This window comes from Homo sapiens, chromosome 5, assembly GCF_000001405.40.
Source record: "Homo sapiens chromosome 5, GRCh38.p14 Primary Assembly".
NCBI classification, from domain to species: Eukaryota; Metazoa; Chordata; class Mammalia; order Primates; family Hominidae; genus Homo; species Homo sapiens.
In genome coordinates, this window is record NC_000005.10 from 154,915,752 (window position 1) to 154,933,155 (window position 17,404).

Sequence of the window (17,404 nt, forward strand, 5' to 3'; positions counted from 1 at the left end):
TCCTCTGTTTGTGTGTAACACTCAAAAACTGCTGGCGGAAGTATTAAATGGCATAATGTTTTTGGAGAGCCGCTTAGCAGTAAGTATAAAAAACTACATCTTTTTACCTAGCAATTCCACTTCTAGAATTTTCTATACAAAAATTATTCATTCATGTTCACGAAGATCTATGTATAAGGCAGTTTATTGTAATACTACTTAAATTGTAAAAAAAAATAAATAATTTGAATGTCATTTAATTGTGGAATGGATACATTATGGTAAGCCCATATAATGGAATGAACAGGTAACTGTTTTTTTTTTAATTTTTATTTTTTGTATAGGTGGGGTCTCCCTACATTGCCCAGGCTGGTTTCAAACTCCTGGTCTCAAGCTATCCTTCCACTATGGCCTCCCAAAGTGCTAGGATTACAGGTATGAGCCACTGCGCCTGGCTGACAGATATTTGTTAATAACAGCAAGATAGATCCTTGTGTACTGACATAAAAAGATGTCCATGATAAATATTGTAAATTTAGAGAAAAAAACTGCAAGCACTATATATTATATATAGCAATTTATTTTTAGCTAGGAACAGAAGATTATTCTTTCACACAAGTACACAGAAGTGCAAACCTATTAATATATACTAACATGTATACATATGTAGGCTATGACTTTATAAAATCTAGAGAAAATATATAGCAAGCCAATAACACTGGTTATTGAATGATGAAATTTTAGGGGAAAACTTCATTTTTTTTTCTTTCTTTTTTGAGATAGGGTGTGCTCTGTAACCCAGGCTAGGGTGCAGTGGTGCAAATATAGCTCACTGCAGCCTCAAACTCCTAGAATCAGATGATCCTCTCAGCTCAGCCTCCCAAGTAGCTGGGACTAAAGGCATGCACCTCTAACCCGGCAAATTTGTTTTTTATTTTCAATTTTTTGTAGAGACGGAGCCTCACTATTTAACAGGCTGGTCTCAAAATCCTGGCCACAAATAATCTTCTCGTTGTGGCCTCCTAAAGTGCCAGGATTACAGGTGTGAGCAACTGTGCCTGGCCAACTTCATTTTCTGTTACCATTTTTGTCATGTTTGAAAGAATTTTAAAATAAGATGAATCTATCACTTTTGAAACAGAAAAAGTAGTAAGAATAATACTTATTTTATTATAATGTCAAAAATAAAGTAAAAAGTAACAAAGATTAGAATGGAAAGTAGCTGAACAAACGATATCATCCCCAGTATGAAAGAAACCAAAGTTACCTATGACAGTCTTCAGGTTGTGCACGTAAATGACTGCATTGTTGGAGCCAGAGGCCATCAGATAGCTCAATTCTGGCTGGCTGCCATGCTCATGATGCCAGCTAATGGTATTCACAAGCTTGTGATGCTGTTGGATAGTACAGATCAGTTTCAGGTTGGGAATCTGAAATATTTCTATTGATCTGGAATAAGAAACACATCAAAACAAGAAAGATGGATGATCAAATTACAAGTTACAATGCAAATAGTAGCTCCCTCATTCCGTCAGTCAAGGAAAGATGAGGTGGAAAAGGATAACCCTTTCTATCACTGCAAAGGTCATTCTCTCATAAAAAATCAAGTATAAAAAGTTATTCTCCAAAAAGTATATTTAGCTTTTAAAAATTCTAGCAATATCCTAACAATTCTTTTCTTAAAAAAATTAATTTTTAGAAATTTTAACTTTCCACACTACCTCAGTGTAACAATCTCCTAGCATTCTAACAATGCTTGATAAAATTGTGTTCATCAGGCATTAATGACAAATGATGATAGGGAGAAGCTAAAATAATTAACAGATCAATGGCTGAATTATGACTGTGTTACTATGATTAACACTGGTCAGGATACAGACCTAAAAAGCATTTCTGACTAGGCTTACTTTAAAAAAATGGAGATTTATGCAGTTCAACATAGGAGGTGACCATTTTGTGAGGGACAAGACAGCCAAAATACAGTGTAGCCAAATACTCTCAATGGGCTGAAAATATCTAAATAATTCTGTAGTTCTCAAAGACACAAGGCACTACTGGATCAGCGGAGGATATCAAGAATAAATCAAAATACCAAATACAACTGGGCCGCCCCAGCTAACATTACAGATGGCATTAGTCAGCTTGTGATCAAATATATGTGCGATTGCAAATTTTTTATCTTAAAGAAGCAAATACATACCCATCTTCATTGCCAAGAGCCATGATTTTGCCATCTGCTTTCCAACTTATCTCTGTGTGTACAGGCAATTTGTACTAGAAAGCAAAACAAACCAATCTTGACTATATACATATCTCACAAATCAGCAATGACAGCATGAGAAAAAAAAATCCCTAGAGTTTAAAAACGTTTTAATTATACAACAGCTATTCTTGTAAATAATCTACATAATTAGTAAAAGGATTACTAAGAACATGCATTCTAATTCTCATTTCCTAACTGGGCCAAAAAAACAAAACAAAAAAACCCCCAAGGCCAATAAGTACTAAATGTTTACAGTGCTTAACCTTGTGAAATATATACTTAATTAAACTGATCTGTGCCCATCAGCTTGGACAATGTGGGGACCATGAGGCCTTAAAGAAAACTATATACACTCTCCTTGTTTTCTATCCCTTCAAAGCTTCTTTCCCTGAATCATTTCCCTCCCATATCTATATGCTGGTATTCCCCAAGGCTGCCTGGGCCCTCTTCTCTTGTTAATTGTCTCTTTAACCCACCTCATACATGTCCACAGCTTCTTCAACTATCTTTATTGTGAAGGGATTCAAAATTTCTATATCCAGCTCAGACTCCTAGCATGAACCTCTGATCCACACATTCAAGTGCCAATAAATTAGAAGAGACTTAGGAACACGAATTTTGTCTCTTATTCATTGCTGAATGTTAATGTTTAGATAAAATTAAAGACAATGAGGGAATATAATCAACAATATAACCCAATTTATAACTAAATGTTACTTTTATACTAGCCATAAAAGTAATGAGCAATAATATAAAAATGCTCATTTGGGCTGGGCATGGTGGCTCATGCCTATAATCAGTACTTTGGGAGGCCAAGTGGGGTGGATCACTTGAGGCCAGGAGTCCGAGATCACAGCCTGGCCAACATGGTGAAACCCTGTCTCTACTAAAGACACAAAAATTAGCCAGTCTTGGCACGTGCCTGTAATCCCAGCTACTCAGGTGGCTGAGACATGAGAATCACTTGATTCCAGGAGGTGGAGGCTGCAGTGAGCTGAGATCGCACCACCGCACTCCAGCCTGGGCGACAGAACAAGGCTCTGTCTCAAAAAATAAATAAGTAAATAAATAAAAATACTCATTTGAAAGGGTAAGGAGGCCAAAGCAGGTGGATCACTTGAGCTCAGAAGTTCAAAACCAGCCTGGCCAACATGGTGAAACCCCATCTCTACTTAAAAAATACAAAAATTAGCTGGGCATGGTGGCCCATGCCTGCAGTCCCAGATACTTGGGAGGCTGAGGCAGGAGAATCTCATGAACCTAGGAGGCCGGAGGTTGCAGTAAGCCAAGATCACGCCACTGCACTCCAGCCTGAGTGACAGAGTGAGACTCTGTCACACACACAAAAAAGGGTAAGGAAATAAGGAAATCTCAACATTTAAGGTATGACTTTAAAAAGACAGTTCTGGCACATACTGATAGCATGAGAACACAAATGTAATTAAATGTGGGAATCTGGGTAAAGGATATAAGCAAATTATGTGTATTATTTTTGTAGCTTCGTGTAAATCTAGAATCATTTTACTAGAAAATTAAAAACAAAATGACAATTTTGTCTTGAGTAAAACACCATGCAGTTGCATTTGGATACTATATTATTGTTATTTTTACCACAGCATCACTTTGGTGAAAGTGGTTGGCCTGAAAAGGATGCTTTATACATAACACCTGAAAGTTTATAATAAATCATTGTTGCAATTGAGACAGACCTTTTTTTCAGTAGTTCTTTTTTGGCTTTTTTATTTTTTTGCCTCATACTCACTGTCTGAGAAGTACCTCTTTGTTTTATTCGAGGATAAAGACTCCTAAGATATATAACTCACAAATTCATGCACAGCCTTATAAGAACATTTAAGAAATCTGACTTAGTATGATGATGGTAATCTCCAATAACAGCATTTATTTTGCAAGATGGGAAACACAGAGGGATCTGTGATGTAAAAAGAAAATACTTCAGGACCACAAGAACTCACTTTGATTGAATTGGTGTCCCTGATGAGTTTGTTGATGTCAAAGGCTTCTCCACTAAGCTTCCAGGGATTATGCTGTAAGACAATCCCTTCTCCTCCACAGCTGTATAAAGCAAGGGAAGGTCTGTCTCCTTCTCCTCCTGTATGAAATAAGAAAAGAAACTTATCAGTTTTGTACTTCATCAGCTTAACTATTTGTTGCTATAGTATGACCATACCATACTACATAGTTGTTTTAAAAGAACTATATATTTGAAACATTCTAATACATTGGAATAAAATCACTGTTCTTTCCACCTGAACACAGTTGTTGGGAGCAGAAGTAAAAAAACTATACTACTATAATTCTAGGTTAATTTATGTGATGTAACATATTTGCTTTAAACAGTCTTCTGGTATTCATAATAATAGGGGTCCAAAAGCTGGGATCAGAAAACAAACATATATGTTCTCAAAAGCTTCTGAGAATTTGCTTTTTCTTCCAGAAATGAGTACTCTTTGGGAATTACATAGCACAGTAGGACTTTCTATGTCTTATAACAAAGAGATGTCATCAAAGCAGTGATTTCCTTAGTATCACAGCAATCTTCTTGTTAATTTTTAAGAAGCAAACAGTAATTCTGGTGGGTTTCTATAAGAGCAAGTTTTACTTTTACCACTGGTAGATCACAAATCAAATACCCAGTAAACATTTGTTGCATAAATGAACTACAAATTCCAATGCTACTTGAGTTCTGATAAATCTACTTATCCTCTCTATGTAATGCAATTCCTATAGAAATTTACAGATGTTTCATCATAGATGGTTAAGAAAAGTTTATCAGAGACTTTTGATGAATACACTTATGTAAAAAGCTAATAGAAAAGACTCATTACTTTAGGAATAAGAAAAAGAAAGACAAGGCTGAGGGGCTAGAAGAGGGAAAGGAGCAGAATGCTGAATCAAAGGCAAGAGATCATTTCAGAAACTCTAAGTTTGCTTTTCCTGTGGGTGAAAATAGATATTATTCCATTAATATACTGAAGTATCATTCTAATTCTGATAAAATTAAAAAGAGACAGCAAGTTTTAGTGAAGAATATTAGACTGGGTATCAGGACCCAGCATGATAACTATACATACAATGAAAAATTTCAGATCAAATAGAAGAACAATGCTTTAGTGAGTTTGGGGAAGCTTATTATGGGTAAATGGTTTCTCCCAGGAACTGTGATTTATCATCTGCCACTACTGTCTTCATGAACCCCTGGGGACATAAGTAGCCCACATAAGCAGTCAGTGCACTAGACCATTTATGACTCTTTCCATCTTTAATATTTTAGGATTAAACTGAAGGAAGAATACTCTCATATTTGTTATGGAATTGTTCAGATACTTACCAAGTGACATGGGGGGTACTGGTGGCCCCCAGGCTAAAGTATATACAGTCTTCTTATGATATGTGCTAGAAATCTGTGGAGGCCTTTAGAAGAGCAGGGAGAGAGAACAAATGGAGATTTAAACAAAAAGGCATAATGAAAAACAGACCATCTTTTTCTAAAAGGTCCCCATTATAAACATAACTACTAATAATTGGAGAAAAATAATTCAACAATATCTTGCTCCAAATAGTTGACTGTAAAGCAGTTAATTATCATATAATATTTACATTTAAATTATATTTAAATATCAAATAATGACATTTACTACCAAAACGATTAAGTCCCAAACATATTTTACCCCCCAAAAAATGTTACTCTTACCCATCTAGCCAGAACATATATTATCACCACCCAAATGTATTCACTTTACGGTCATGTAAAAGATGAGAAGTCATTTTAGACTTACTCTGTGCCATTAACATCACATTTCCTAAATTGAGACAAGATTTCAGGGTAGAGAGATTTTCAGTTTGTGATTGTCTTTTAAAGAAGGCGTACTCCTAAGAGCATTTTTGAAGGTTGTTGTGGTAATGATATGTGATGTGTCAGTAAAGAATGCTTAACTTTGTAGAAAAAACCAGGCAGCATTGTTATTTCTTTTACCATAAATTATCATACATTCTTTGTATGATTGTAGAATTCCAGAGCCTATGAATAATTAGCAGCTGACTTACTTCCATTTATCTGACAAATTTATAGTGATCAATCTAGAGAATAAATCAAAATTTCTAAAAGAAATTTATATTTTATAAACAGGCTAATTTATACTTTAGCCTATTTATTTTCTTTTTTTCTGTTTTAGAGACGGAGTCTCGCTCTGTCACCCAGGCTGGAGTGCAGTGGTGCAATCTCCGCTCACTGCAAGCTCCGCCTCCTGGGTTCACACCATTCTCCTGCCTCAGCCTCTGGAGTAGCTGGGACTACAGGCACCTGCCACCAAGCCCGGCTAATTTTTTGTACTTTTAGTAGAGATGGGGTTTCACAGTGTTAGCCAGGATGGTCTCGATCTCCTGACCTCGTGATCTGCCCGCGTCGGCCTCCCAAAGTGCTGGCAGCCACTGTGCCCGGCCTACTTTAGCCTATATCTAAAAGAAATAGAATAAGCAGTTCTGGCAAAATGCCTAACAATAGCTCTAGGGCAATACCCACCACTCTCTGGCTATTACATGGCTTTTGTACTGTTAGTCTGAATATTCAGCTTATAATAACCAGGATATAATAATTTAATAGAATTAGCAATTTCATGGTGATATAGAACTATTTAAGTTTTATTTGATTAAAAACAGTGTACTTTAAATAAATCTTTAAAACAGTTTTTTTTTTTTTTTTTGAGATGGAGTCTTGCTCTGTTGCCCAGGCTGGAGCACAGTGGCACGATCTCGGCTCACCGCAACCTCCGCCTCCTGGGTTCAAGCAATTCTCCTACCTCAGCCTCCCGAGTAGCTGAGAATACAGGCGCCCACTACCACATCCAGCTAATTTTTTGTATTTTTAGTAGAGACGGGCTTTCACCGTGTTAGCCAGGATGGTCTCAATCTCCTGACCTCAGGATCCGCCCGCCTCAGCCTCCCAAAGTGTTGGGATTACAGGCGTGAGCCACCGTGCCAGGCCTTAAAATAGTGTTCTTTTTTGAGAGTTAAAAAAGGAGAATAGTCAACTGCATGTAGGTTCTACATGAATACTTCAAGAACTGCATATACAAAGGACAGCTCTGGCCGGGCACGGTAGCTAACATCTGTAATCCCAGCACTTTGGGAGGCTGAGGGTGGATCACCTGAGGTTAGGAGTTCAAGACCAGCCTGACCAACACGGAGAAACCCTGTCTGTCTCTACTAAAGATACAAAATTAGCCAGGTGTGGTGGCACATGCCTGTAATCCCAGCTACTCAGGAGGCTGAGGCAGGAGAATCGCTTGAACCCAGAAGGCGAAGGTTTTGGTGAGCTGAGATCGTACCACTGCACTCCAGCCTGGGCAAGAAGAGCGAAACTCTGTCTCCAAAAAAAAAAGGACAGCTCTGCAGTATCATAAATGATTTTCACTCAGAAATGAATGATCTAAGACAGAGGCTGGCCAACCTTTTCTGTAAATATTTCAGGCTTTGTGAGCCATGTGGTCCCTGCCACAACTACTCCACTCTGCTGTGGTAGTATGAAAGCAGCCAGACAGAATGTAAACAAAGGAGTGCAGCCATGTCCCAATAAAATTTCACTTACAGACACTGAAATCTGAATTTTATTTAATCTTCATATGTCATAAAACATTCTTTTGATTTTTCTCCAGCCACTTAAAAAGCAAAACCATTCTTAATTCATGGACCATGGTTCACCAACGCCTGGTCTAGAACAGTGTTGTTCAATAAGGTAGCCATTAGTCACGGATGCCTCTTGTGCATTTAAAATAGGGCTAGTGTGACTGAGGAACTGAATTTCTATTTCATTTTAATTACTTTAAGTATAAATAGCCACATGTGGCTACCAGACTGAACAACACAGGTCTGGATTCTAATCAAGCCTCTAGAGCAGCGGTGTACAAAAATAAACAATGTAAGCCACAAAGATGAACTGTATATGTAACCTAAAGTTTTCTAGTAGCCATATTTTAAAAAAGCAAAAGAAAAAAGTAAAATTTTAGTAATGTATTTTATTTAACTCAGCCCACTGAAAGTATTATTTAAAATGTAATCAAAATAAAATAATTATTGAGATTTTTAATTTTCTTTAAATATTAAGACTCGGAACTCTGGTGTGTATTTTACACTTACAGCACATCTCAGTTCGGACTTGGCACCTTTCAAGTGATCAGTAATCACCTGTGGTTAATGACTACTGTAGTGGAGAATGTAGTTCTAGACATAACTTCTAGTTCATACGAAACATAGGGAACAGGGAAATGAGTTAGAAGCTACCACAAGGAGATAACTGACAAGTCCAAAATGTGGAAGAGTCTACCAAACAACTGATTTGTGGTCTTCAAATTGAAAAGGCAACGTTATGAAAAGGAAAGTGAGGGATTATTCTAGAGCAGGGGTGGCCAACCTTTTGGCTCCCCGGGCCACAATGGAAGAAGAATCACCCATTTCTTACTTGTTGGAGTAGGTGTCATACAATCCCACTTTTCCATCATCAGTTCCAAAAGCTAAGCAACCTTCCTTGGTTGGGTGCCAGCACAGCTACAAAAAAAAGAGTTTCCAAGTGAGAATATAAGAAGTGGGGCATATAGTTAAAGGAATCCTTACATTACCCTTTAAGCATCCAAAGGGAAAACTGTCTTGCTCTGATTTCTTCATTATTTAAAGGAGAAAAAGGGTATTAAAAACAAAGTCGGCCGGGCGCAGTGGCTCACGCCTGTAATCCCAGCACTTTGGGAGGCAGAGGCGGGCGGATCACGAGGTCAGGAGATCGAGACCATCCTGGCTAACACAGTGAAACCCTGCCTCTACTAAAAATACAAAAAATTAGCCAGGCGTGGTGGCGGGCGCCTGTAGTCCCAGCTACTCGGGAGGCTGAGGCAGGAGAAAGGCGTGAACCCGGGAGGCGGAGCTTGCAGTGAGCCGAGATTGTGCCACTGCACTCCAGCCTGGGCGACAGAGTGAGACTCTGTCTCAAAAAACAAAACAAAACAAAACAACAAAAAAAACAAAGTCAATGTCATCTGTAATCTTTCATTCAAAAAACCGACTGCAGATGTTGTATCTCTCTTTCCAGATATTTTTGTGAATAAACTTATACACAATTGAAAAAAACAAATGAGTTCAAATACGTAAATGATATGCATTATACACTGTCGAGTCGGAATAAGAGATTCTGGAAGAATTTAGAAAATACAGTTCTATTAATATTAAATAGTTTACAAAATTTGAAAAGATAGATCATAAACTGTCCACAGTGGTTCTCTGGATTATTCAAGTGGGGGACTGGAGTGGAGGGTAGGGTAGGAAAAAAATGTTTCCTTTCTCTATTTTTGTGTTGTTTGATTTTCTTTTTAAACCATAAAAATTTATTACCTTTAGATTCAATAGCCAAAAGAAAGGTATCATTTTAGAGAAAACCAAAAAAATTACACATACTGTTTTATAACCTGCTTTCCATGTTTTATAATTGACATTTTTCATAAATCATTTATATACCTTTCCACATCAAGGAAGAAGGAATCTACATTATCATTTTCAATAATTTGATGCCATTCCAACATTTGGTTATCTTATAACTTAACGCATTTTCTATGAATATACAGTCAGGCTATTTCTAACTTCTTACTATTAGAAAAAATGCTGAGATGAACAGAGCCTTAATAAATTTAAACTCTGGAGGATAATGGGTTTGGTTACAGGATCATTCTGCTTTCCTAGTTTCAAACTTCATTGAAAATACTTTAAAACTTTTGATTCTCAACAGAGCGCATTTAAATGAACAGGCATAAAAGAGAATTATTTGGAAAAAAAAAAGTTCAAAACAAGCTCAAAAAAAGAATCCTTACCGCTGTAACCTTGGACTTCACGCCTTGCCAAAAATTTTTCACATCATAGTTGTTCTTTATGGAGAGTGTATTCCATACACGGATCATGCCATCCCCAACACCTATGGCCAAAGAGCCTATGTCCACAGAAGAGAAAGCCAGGCTGTATGCAAACCCACCAAGGGAAGGAAGGGTCCAGCTGCACTCCAAGGTGGCTATGTCCCAACATTTTACCTGCAAAGATTAACGGTAAGGGCCTAAACATAAAAAAGAACAGAGAAATAGGAAAAAAAACCTGATATGTCAAATGGGATAGGCTCAAAGACTGGGTAAGGATAATGCATGTCTTCCAGCAGGAATTGAAGAAAGCACTGCTAAGAAAAAAAAAATAGTAATAAATTATGTTGCTTAAAGGGATCTTAAAATATATTTATTCCCAAAGATGTCACGTGAATTCAGGGTTACACAATTAATAAACCAGAACCCACGCCTCCTGTCTCCAAGTTCGGTGGTCTTTCTGTCCTATTATAGCACTGGTAACCCCCTCATTTGGCAAACTCTAAGGAAGAAGATGGCCTCAGCACAGTGGAAAAATCAAAGAACTGCTCTCTCAAAAGGCAAAACACCTTATCATACCCAGGGAAGGAGGAGTGGTAAATTTTTAATCATCACTTGTTTAAGAGACAGGCTTGGGAGAAAATGAAGTCTACCAAATAAGCCTAGCTTAACTGCAAAACAGTAAGGTAATAGGCTTTCAAATAAAGTCAATTCTCTCTGAAAGATTTCTATTCTGCTACATACACTACAAACCAGGATAAACCATAGCATGAGGACCTAACACAGGGGTGTCCAATCTTTTGGCTTTCTGGGGCCACACTGGAAGCAGAATTGTCTTGGGCCACACAAAAAGTACACTAACACTAGGCCAGGCGCCGTGGCTCACGCCTGTAATCCCAGCACTTTGGGAGGCTGAGGCAGGCAGATCACGAGGTCAGGAGATCGAGGCCATCCTGGCCAACACAGTGAAACTCCATCTCTACTAAAAACACACACAAAAAATTAGCTGGGCGTAGGTGATACACGCCTGTAGTCCTAGCTACTCGAGAGGCTGAGGCAGGAGAATGGCGTAAAACTGGGGAGGTGGAGCTTGCAGTGAGCCAAGATCACACCACTGCACTCCAGCCTGGGAGACAGAGCAAGACTCTGTCTCAGAAAAAAAAAAAACACTAACACTAACAACAGCTGATGAACTTAAAACCATCCTGAGCTGTGGGTTGGACAAGCTTGACCTAATACATCCTTCCCTGGGCAAAACTACCCTTCTTTATTATGTCTGCTTTAACAAAAAACTATTTTGGTGGGTCTTCACATTCTCCTTACATGTGAGCTATTGATATATTCAGTGCTGATCTGTAGCAGTAACTCTGAAATTGGAGTCAGGGGTGGAGTATTACGACTTGACAGGTGCTTTGAAAAAGCCCTCTCATCCCACCCAAGTTGTAAACTGCTGCTCTACAATGCTGAGTGAAAATAAGCATTCTTACATCTCTATCCATTGATGTAGAAAGTAATAGCTGTTTGTCATCCTCTGTTTGTAAAGGACATAAATTAAACACAATTCTTGAATGATTTTGCCCTTCTGATGAGGCACTGAAGAGGGTGTATTTCCGTCTCCAAGATTGAGTGAGATCCCATTGCAACAGTTCACCTCTGTGAAGGAAAAACATAAGCATTAGTTCTTTTACAAACGATCTGAAAACAAGTGACTGTTGAGACAGAGTCTGGGCTCATAGCTGCAAAATGATTTGTTGTCGTTTAAGGAGAGAAAAATTGCATATGCTGAAAATATGCACAAAATATCTCTGGGAAGGCTGGGTGCAGTAGTTCACATCTGTAATCTCAGCATTCTAGGAGGCCAAGGCAGGAGGATTGCTTGAAGCCCCGATCTCAAGACCAGCCTGGGCAACAAAGTGAGACCGTCCCTACAAACAATTAAAAAAATTAGTTGGGCATGGTGGTGCACATCTATGGTCCCAGTTACTTGGGAGGCTGAGGTGGGAGAATTGCTTGAGCCCAGGAGGTTGAGGCTGCAGTGAGCTGTGTTTGCACCACTGCACTCCAGCCTGGGTGACAGAGCAAGACCCTGTTTCAAAAAAAAAAAAAAATTTAATCACAGAAAGGGGAACCAAGTAGCTAGGGAAGACAGAAAGACAGTTTATTATATACTTTCGTTCTTCTTGAACCATGTGAGTATATTGGACTACCCTTTAAACAGATTTATCTCCAGCCACTAGAAGTAGGTAGTCAATGAACTTTGTTTACTGAATGGGCATAGCCATCCAACCTAAGAGAAAATATTATAACCATCTCCCCTTTCTACACTTGAAGTGACTGAAGCTCAGAAAAGTAAAGGGTCTTGCTCAGGAATACAAGGCAGTAAGTGACAAAGTGATTCTGAAATTTAGTTCTGACTTCAGAGTCCATATTCCTAACTGCCGGACTATACTTATGTGATCTTTTTACAGCTCTGTTAGTAGATAGCACAGGCATTAGTCTCATAATTTTTCCATTTCAAATGGCCCATCATAATACAAGCCTTGGCCATTACTTTCTCCATCCTAGGAGGACTTGAGGCCAAATAGAAAAACAAAATATATCTGAGAAAGCATGACCAAAAAAGACTTACCCAAAACAGCTAGATACCAGCTGTGTTGGTTGATTGCTGGGCCAATGGAGTGTCAACCAAAGGCGCTCTTTAACAGTTGGGTCTATACCCCCTCCTCTTCTCTTCAGAAAGGGCAATTTCAAAATCATCACCCCTGCAGATTAAAAAGAAGGCCAGTGGGCACTCAAGACAGTGAAACTACATGCATGAAGTCACCGGTGGTTCATAACACACAGTCTGCGCTGTAAAAGCTTGTTAGTTTGGCTACTTAGAATTCAGATCTCATTTTCCAATGGTTACAATTTTAACCATTATTATGGTTATAATTTTAATCACTATAAATACTGGTTAATACTAGTCTAGCTACATTTAGGTCAAACAAGCTTCGACAGGCTATCTTGACAACCTCAACGTATTAAGAGTATTTTTTTTTTTTGGCCGGGCGCGGTGGCTCATGCCTGTAATCCCAGCACTTTGAGAGGCCGAGGCGGGAGGATCACGAGGTCAGGAGATCGAGACCATCCTGGCTAACATGGTGAAACCCTGTCTCTACTAAAAATACAAAAAAATTAGCCGGGCGTGGTGGCAGGCACCTGTAGTCCCAGCTACTCGGGAGGCTGAGGCAGGAGAATGGCATGAACCCAGGAGGTGGAGCTTGCAGTGAGCTGAGATCGTGCCACTGCACTCCAGCCTGGGCGACAGAGAGAGACTCTGCCTCAAAAGAAAAAGAGTATTTTTTCGTCTGGGAAAATGAGTTCCCAAGTAAAACTGAGAACCCAGCTAGTAACACAGCTGAGTTGTGTACCCAAAAGTATTGCAGTGACATAACTCCAAAGTGAAAAGGACAGAGGTTGGGATTACTATTTCTAGTCGGCAAGAAATCCAACAAAGAAAAATTTGGCAGTGAACGTGCTGTGGGTGGGGAGTACCTCCACCCGACATGCTTCTAATCACCGTTTTTTAAGCTGTATTGTGCATCGGAACCACAGGTGGAACTTTAAAAAATACATACGCCAGGGCCTAACTCCTAGAGATTCGGACTCAGTAGATCTGAGGTGGGGTACAAGAACCTACATTTTTCCAAAGACTCTCCAGCTGATTCTGCTGCACAACCACAATTGAAGGCCATTTTACCAGACACCTCTAAGTCTAGAGGTTACCCTCCTGGAGGGATCCTCAGCCTTATGTTCCCACTTGGAGTTTTAGCTGCAGTATGCCAAGAAGTAGCCTGTAAACCTTAAAAAAGTTCTGTCTTCCCAAATTATACTATTAGTTACCTACCACTGATGAAGCCTGGATGACATTCCAAGTGCTGTGCTACTTGCTTTACATGCATTTGGGCAAATATGATAAAACTATCATGGTTTCAAATAAAGTAGAAAGTACATCCATGCTCATAGCATATTATTTAGAATAGTAAAACATGGAAGCAACCCAAATGTCCATCAGTGTGTGAGATATGAGTTCTAAATTTCTCTTCAAAGAATCAATATGTCAGTATGTTCAATTATTTGGCTTCTGTTTTTAAACTTAACTTCCTCGTAAAAGCAACCTTTTTCGATTACCTGCTCCATCCTGACTCATTCCGATTACCTGCTCCACCCTGACTCATTCTGATTTCCTGCTCTGCCATAACCATTTTTCCTGCCATAACCATTTTCTCCCATCAAACCACTTACCCCGGCACTCTCTTTAAATCAGCGAATCAGAATTAGTTTAGCCTGTGCGGTCTAACCCTAGCTGATAGGGGAACGACACAGCAGCAGGGGCCACATGCGTCAGGGATAAGAACCCCTCCCCTCCGTTGTCCAAGTGTGCGCTCACCATTGCTCCATCTGTAAGGGCGCACCCTTCTATAGAAGTACATTGCCTTGCTGAGAATTAAAAAGAAAGTTTTATATTTGAGTGCTATTTCTTTTGCCACACCGAAATTTTATTTATAACAAGTGGATGAGTGGGTAAGTAAAATGTGGGACATACACACAATGGAATATTATTCAGCCTTAGAAAGGAAGGATATGCTGACATACGGTACCAACATCAATGAACCTCGGGGATATATGCTAAGTGAAATAAGCCAATCACAAAAAGACATATCATATGTATAACTTCACTCAAAGGAAATACTCAGAGTAGTCAAAATCATAGAGCTGAAAGCAGAATGATGGTTGCCAGGGCCTGGGGGAGGGGGAAATGGAGAGTAGAATTCTGGAGATGGGTGGCTGTGACAGTTGCACAACTTTAGAGTGTACTTCATACCACTTAAATGTACACTTAAAAGTGATAAAGATGGCAAATGTTATATTTTCCACCACAGCTTAAAAAACTGCCAAAAAAAATAAAATAAAATGAAGAAAGAAGAGAAGCCCGCTAGAAAGAGAAAAACAAGATTTTTACTATAAAGGTTATATTCTATGATATACTATAAATATTCATTATGCCTAGAGTTTCTCTCAATTTTTAAACTTAAAGATAAAAGTTCTGTTCAAAGAGACATTTGGGAAAGCTAAATGATTGAGGGGCTCTATAATTTGGATAAAATGAGCTTTTACACATAATTCTATGCTGGGTGTATGTAATTTATTCTGCATTTGTGCATTAAAAGCTCTAACTCTTAAGATATTTTCCATTCTCCTGGCTTAGGCCATATCATGTTCTAATATTCCTGTTTTTATTACAAATATTCTGCTCTCCATGCCAAACACTGACCCTTCTATAAAGCAAGAGATCCTTGTCTTCTCCTGGAATGCATGGGAAATACTAATCTCTAAGGCCAGATGTTGAGAGAATAGAGAGTCTAGGCCAGGCTCAAATGAGGAAGCAGAATTCTAGACCAAAAAGTGAAGAACTGCTCTCAAATAGATGACACACCCTCAGGACAATAAGAACAGAAAACCCTCTACTTCCACCAGATCAACATAGGTTACATCACAAAAGAAAGATCAATCTTACCTCGGCCTCTAGAACAGCTCCAGATTCGAATGGTTTGATCTTTGCTTCCAGTGGCTAAGTAGCAACCTTTTGTTACTGGAGCTTGTGCTACAGCATTCCCGTTGGTAATTTCAGCTTCTTCTATGAGATAGGTGGCAATTTTGTTTTTAATTTACATTAAACACGCACTAATATAAAAAAATTAGTTTGCAAGAGTTTCCAAAACTTAGCTATCTCTTTCATAGGTCTGAACTATAAAATTTGAAGTTTTAGGTATAATTAAAATGATATAATTCGGCCTGGTGCAGTGGCTCACGCCTGTAATCCCAGCATTTTGGGAGGCTGAGGCAGGTGGATCACCTGAGGTCGGGAGTTCAAGACCAGCCTGACCAACATGGAGAAACCTGTCTCTACTAAAAATACAAAATTAGCTGGGCGTGGTGGCGCATGCCTGTAATCCCGGCTACTCGGGAGGCTGAGGCAGGAGAATCGCTTGAACCCGGGAGGCGGAGGTTGCGGTGAGCCGAGATCACGCTCCAGCCTAGGCAACAAAAGCAAAACTCCGTCTCCAAAAATAAATAATAAATAAAAAATGATATAATTGTACCCGTTCTGTTCTTCAGGTCTCAAGTGGACTTAACTTTCCCTTAAACCATCTCTACCTGAAGTTTCCTCTTGGTTTATAGATAAACAATCTTCACCAGGCAGGGGACACCAGGCTATGGAGTGGATTTCATCATCATGGCCTCGAAGCCTATGAATAACTTCTCCTTTCTTACTGATGTCAATTATCACCACTATGCCATCCTTGTAGCTAAAAAACAAGAGTTAGAAATATTACTAAAAAAATGAAGACAGAACAGAGTCTCTAGTAAACATTTTGGCTTGGAGTTACCATTGGCGCATTCCTTAAAGTTAGGTGCATTTGGGGTGGCGGAGGAGGGAAGAGGACAAAAAATAATTTTGCTTTTTCCTTTTTTTAAAGTGCTCACCTTATGCCTCCTGGTTTTGTTAAAACCCTTCTCTCTATGATCAAACTCTTGGCACTAGGTAATACTATGTATGTTGCCTGGTACAAAACTCACAGTGGACCATGATTTTGTTCTAAGGGAATTTTCATAGTTTTTGCAAGGGTGCAGCAACTCTTCTTTTTTCCTTCTCTGTTGCCCAGGCTGGAGTGCAGTGGCACAATCACCACTTACTGCAGCCTTGACTTCCCAGGCTCAAGCAATCCTCCCACCTCAGCCTGGGACTGAGTAGCTGGGACTAAAGGTACATGCCATGCCCAGCTAATTTTTGTATTTTTTTGTAGAGATGAGGTTTCACCATGTTGCTCATGGCTGGTCTCAAACTCCTGGGCTCAAGCAATCTACCTGCGTTGGCCTCCTAAAGTGATGGGATTATAGGCATCAGCCACCACACCCGGCCAACTCTTCTAACTAGAGATAATTTTGTCCTAGTGCACTGGAAAATAATCTCTTTCTTTATAAGTGATACTACTTTTTAAACTGTGAACTTAACAAAAGTTGCAGAATTCTACACTCTAGACCTGCATATTCCAAGGCTGTCATTTTATGAATTCAAAAGAAACTGAGAAATTCTAATAGCTTTTTAAAAATGAATGACTTCAGATACATAAAAAAAGTAATCTACTACCCTGCCTAAGAAAAATAATTACCAATAGAGCTGAAGTCCTCTGTACATTCCACTTCAATCAAA

General features: G+C 39.0%; 1 protein-coding gene across 2 annotated transcripts in view; it reads right to left on the reverse strand.

Annotated features, from left to right (window-relative positions):
* GEMIN5 (gem nuclear organelle associated protein 5) overlaps positions 1 to 17,404 on the reverse strand; it is a 50,801-nt gene that overhangs the window by 28,341 nt on the left and 5,056 nt on the right. The window contains exons 4-13 of one of the 2 annotated variants that reach the window (NM_001252156.2): positions 16,348 to 16,499; positions 15,707 to 15,823; positions 12,776 to 12,908; positions 11,634 to 11,799; positions 10,111 to 10,323; positions 8,718 to 8,803; positions 5,592 to 5,674; positions 4,216 to 4,352; positions 2,180 to 2,253; positions 1,247 to 1,428 (exon numbers count right to left, since the gene is read on the reverse strand). In NM_001252156.2, the coding sequence (NP_001239085.1) occupies positions 1,247 to 1,428; positions 2,180 to 2,253; positions 4,216 to 4,352; positions 5,592 to 5,674; positions 8,718 to 8,803; positions 10,111 to 10,323; positions 11,634 to 11,799; positions 12,776 to 12,908; positions 15,707 to 15,823; positions 16,348 to 16,499 (1,343 nt within the window). Of the gene's footprint in view, positions 1 to 1,246; positions 1,429 to 2,179; positions 2,254 to 4,215; positions 4,353 to 5,591; positions 5,675 to 8,717; positions 8,804 to 10,110; positions 10,324 to 11,633; positions 11,800 to 12,775; positions 12,909 to 15,706; positions 15,827 to 16,347; positions 16,500 to 17,404 lie in introns of both variants that reach the window. The other variant, NM_015465.5, reaches the window with a different exon arrangement.